Source organism: Homo sapiens, chromosome 21 (assembly GCF_000001405.40).
Source record: "Homo sapiens chromosome 21, GRCh38.p14 Primary Assembly".
Classification (NCBI taxonomy): Eukaryota; Metazoa; Chordata; class Mammalia; order Primates; family Hominidae; genus Homo; species Homo sapiens.
The window spans coordinates 26,308,117-26,312,773 of NC_000021.9; the positions used below are offsets into that span (position 1 = coordinate 26,308,117).

The 4,657-nt window shown below is 35.4% G+C and overlaps 1 annotated feature.

The window, feature by feature from the left end:
* Nucleotides 3,107-3,819: an enhancer, noted in NCBI's record as "OCT4 hESC enhancer chr21:27683542-27684254 (GRCh37/hg19 assembly coordinates)". NCBI's record gives its function as "activates a minimal SCP1, AML or CMV promoter by ChIP-STARR-seq in naive H9 embryonic stem cells {active_cell/tissue: H9 hESC(naive)}" and the evidence as "EXISTENCE:reporter gene assay evidence [ECO:0000049][PMID:30033119]".

Below are 4,657 nucleotides of genomic sequence, written 5' to 3' on the forward strand. Positions count from 1 at the left end.
ATACTCCACTGACAGCACTAGACAGGTCATCATGACAGAAAGTCAACAAATAAACAATGGATTTAAACTATACCTTGGAAAAAATAGATTTAACAGATATATACAGAATATTCCATCCAACAACAGCAGAATACACATTCTATTCAACAGCCCATGGACCTTTCTCCAAGATAAAACATATGATAGGTCACTAAAAGAGCCTCAATACATTTAAGAAAATTGAAATTATATGAAGCACTCTCTGAGACCACAGTGGAATAAAACTGGAAATCAACTTCAAAAGGAACCTTCAAAACCCTGGAAATACATGGAAATTAAATAACCTACTCCTGAATGATTATTGGGTCAAAAAATCAAGATGGAAATTTAAAATATTTTTTGAATTGAATGACAATAGTGACAAAACCTATCAAAACCTCTGGGTTACAGCAAAGGTGGTGATAAGAGGAAAGCCCCAAATGCCTACATCAAAAAGACTGAAAGAGCACAAAGTGAAAATGTAAGGTCACATCTCAAGAAACTAGAGAAACAAGAACAAACCAAACTCCAAACCAGTAGAAGAAAGGAAATAACCAAGATCAGAGCAGAACTAAATGAAATTGAAACAAAGAAAAACAATACAAAAGATAAATGAATAAAAAAGATGGTCCTTCGAAAAGGTTAATAAAATTGATAGACCATTAGCAAGATTAGCCAAGAAAAGAAAAGAGAAAATCCAAATAACCTCAATAAGAAATGAAACAGGAGATATTACAGCTGACACCACAGAAATACAAAAGATTATTCAAGGCTAATATAAACACCTTTACACGCATAAACTAGAAAACCTAGAGGAGATGGATACATTTCTGAAATGACACAATGCTCCTAGCTTAAATCAGGAAGAATTAGATACCCTGAACAGATCAATAACAAGCAGTGAGATTGAAATGGTAACTTAAAAATTACCAACAAAAAAAAGTCCAGGACCAGACAGATTCACAGCAGAATTCTACCTGACATTCAAAGAAGAATTGGTACCAATCCTATTGACACTATTCCACAAGATAGAGAAAGAGGAAACCCTCCCTAATTCATTCTGTGAAGCCAGCATCACCCTAATACCCAAACCAGGAAGGGACATAACCAAAAAAGAAATCTATAGACATATATCCTTGATGAACATAGACGCTAAAATCCTTAACAAAATACTAGCTAACAGAATTCAACAACATAATCAAAAAGATAATTCACTGTGATCAAGTGGGTTTCATACCAGGGATGCAGTGATGGTTTAATAAGTCAATAAATGTGATACACCACGCAAACAGAATTAAAAACAAAAATCACTTTATCATCTCAATAGATGCAGAAAAAGCATTCAACAAAATCCAGCATCGGTTTATGATTAAAGCTCTCAGAAAAATCGGCATACAAGGGACATACTTCAATATAATAAAATCCATCTATGACAAACCCACAGCCAACATAATAATAAATGGGGAAAAGTTGAAAGCATTCCCTCTGAGAACTGGAACAAGACAAGGATGCCACTCTCATCACTCCTCTTCAATATAGTACTGGAAGTCCTAGCCAGAGCAATCAGACGAGAGAGAGAAAAAAAAAAGGGCATTCAAATTGGTAAAAAGGAAGTCAAACTGTCACTTTTTGCTGATGATATGATCATTTACCTCAAAAACCCTAAAGACTCCTCCAGAAAGCCCCTAGAACTGATAAAAGAATTCAGCAAAGTTTCTGGATACAAAATTAATGTACACAAATCAGTAGCTCTTCTATAAGCCAACAGTGACCAAGCGGAGAATCAAATCAAGAACTCAACCCCTTTTATAATAGCTGCAACAAACAAACAAACAAACAAACACACACTTAGGAATATACCTAAGGAGGTGAATGACCTCTACAAGGCAAACTAGAAAACACTGCTGAAAGATATCATAGATGACAGAAACAAATGGAAACACATCCCACTCTCATAGATAGGTAGAATCCAGATTGTGAAAATGACCATACTGCCAAAAGCAATCTACAAATTAAACACAATTCCCATCAAAATACCACCATCATTCTTCATATAGTTAGAAAAAACAATTCTATAATTCATATAAAACCAAAAAAGAGCCCACACAACCAAAGCAAGAATAAGCAAAAAGAACAAATCTGGAGGCATCACATTACCTGATTTCAAACTACATTATAAGGCCATAGTCACCAAAACAGCATGGTACTTGTATGAAAATGGGCATGTAGACCAATGGAACACAGCAGAGAACCCAGAAATAAGCCCAAATACTTGCAGCCAACTTATCTTCAACAAAGCAAACAAAGACATAAAGTTGGGGGAAGGACAGCCTTTTCAACAAATGCTGCTGGGATAATTGGCAAGCAACATGTAAGAGAATGAAACTGGATCCTCATCTCTCATCTTATACAAAAAAATCAATTCAAGATGGATTAAGGAGTTAAATCTAAAGCCTGAAACTATAAAAATTCTAGACGACAACATTGGAAAAGCCCTTCTAGACATTGGCTTAGGCAAGGATTTCATGACCAAGAACCGTAAAGCAAATGCAATAAAAACAAAGATAAATAGCTGGGACTTAATTAAACTAAAGAGCTTTTGCATGGCAAAAGGAACAGTCAGCAGAGTAGACAGACAACCCACAGAGTGGTAGAAAATCTTCACAATCTATGCATCTGACAAAGGAGTAATATCCAGAATCTACAACAAACTCAAACAATCCCATCAAAAAGTGGGCTAAGGACATGAATAGGTCATTCTCAAAAGAAGATATGCAAATGGCCAACAAACATGTGAAAAATGCTCAACATCACTAATTATCAGGGAAATGCAAATCAATATCACAATGCGATACCACCTTACTCCTGCAAGAATAGCCATAATCAAAAAATAAAAAAATGGTAGATGTTGGCATGGATGTGGTGATCAAGGAACACTTGTACACTGCTGGTAGTAATGTAAACTAGTACAACTACTATGGAAAACAGTGTGGAGATTCCTTAAAGAACTAAAGGTAGAACTACCATTTGATCCAGCAATCCCACTACTGGGTATCTACCCAGAGGAAAGAAGTCATTATACAGAAAAGATACTTGTACACACAGGTTTATAGCAGCAAAATTCACAATTGCAAAATCGTGGAACCAACCAAAATGCCCATCAATCAATGAGTGGATAAAGAAACTATTCTGTTGGAACAATTAATGGAATTATCTCTTTGAAGAGTCCCAGACTGAGTCAAAAAACCATATATATATACATGTATATATATATATATGTGCATACATATATACATGTATATATATGCGCATACATATATACATGTATATATATGCGCATACATATATACATGTATATATATGCGCATACATATATACATGTATATATATGCGCACACATATACACACATATATGTGCACACATATACACACACGTGTGCACACACATACACACATGTGCACACACACATGCATACATATATACACATATGTGCATACATATACACACATACGTGCATACATATACACACATATGTGCATACATATACACACATATGTGCATACATACACACACATATGTGCATACATATATACACACATATGCGCATACATATATACACATACATATGTGCATACATATATACACATACATATATACATATATACATATATGTATGTACGTATATATATACATTTATATATCACAGTTTATATATGTGTGTGTGTGTGTGTGTGTGTGTATATATATATATATATATATATGAGATGGAATACTACTCAGCCATAGAAAGGAGTGAATTAACAGCATTTGCAGTGACCTGGATGAGATTGGAGACTATTATGCTAAGTGAAGTAACTCAGGAATGGAAAATCAAACATTGTATGTTTTCACTACTATGTGGGAGCTTAGCTATGAGGACACAAAAGCATAAGAATGATACAACGGACCTTGAGGACTTGGGAGGAAGGATGGGAGTGGGGCGAGATATAAAAAACTACAAATAGGGTGCAGTGTATACTGCTCAGGTGATGAGTGCACCAAAATCTCACAAATCACCACCGAAGAATTTACTCATGTAACCAAACACCACCTATACCAAAATAACCTATGGAAAAATAAAAAATAAAAAGGAAATGAATTTGTAGCAACAGTCCAAATTAATAGCTACAACAGAAGTGTAGTTTCCAGGTAGACCAATGGATAATACATTCCTTTACTTGCAAGACAGCCTGCCTATAATGCAGAAGAAAAATGCAATAGTTGGGATAGGCTAAGTTAGCCTGCGGCAACAAGCAATTCCATAACTTTAGTGGCTCACAACGGAAAAGAGTATTTCTCGTTGGCACTGCATATCTATCAGCTCTGTTCCACGTAGTATTCACTCAGGCTGTTGAGGCAAAAGGAAGAAACGATCATGAACTGCAGGCGCGAGGCACTAAAAGGAGTTGGAAGAAAGAATATTTGGGGAAAAGTAATATAGTGTATTAGAACAATTAATGGAATTATCTCTCTGAAGAGTCCCAGGCTGAGTCAAAAAACCAGGTTCCACTTCTTTCTTGGCTGCCTAATTCTTAACACTTGGACAAATTTATCTTGAACCTCTCTGAGCTTCATTTTCACAATCCAGAAAATAAGGGG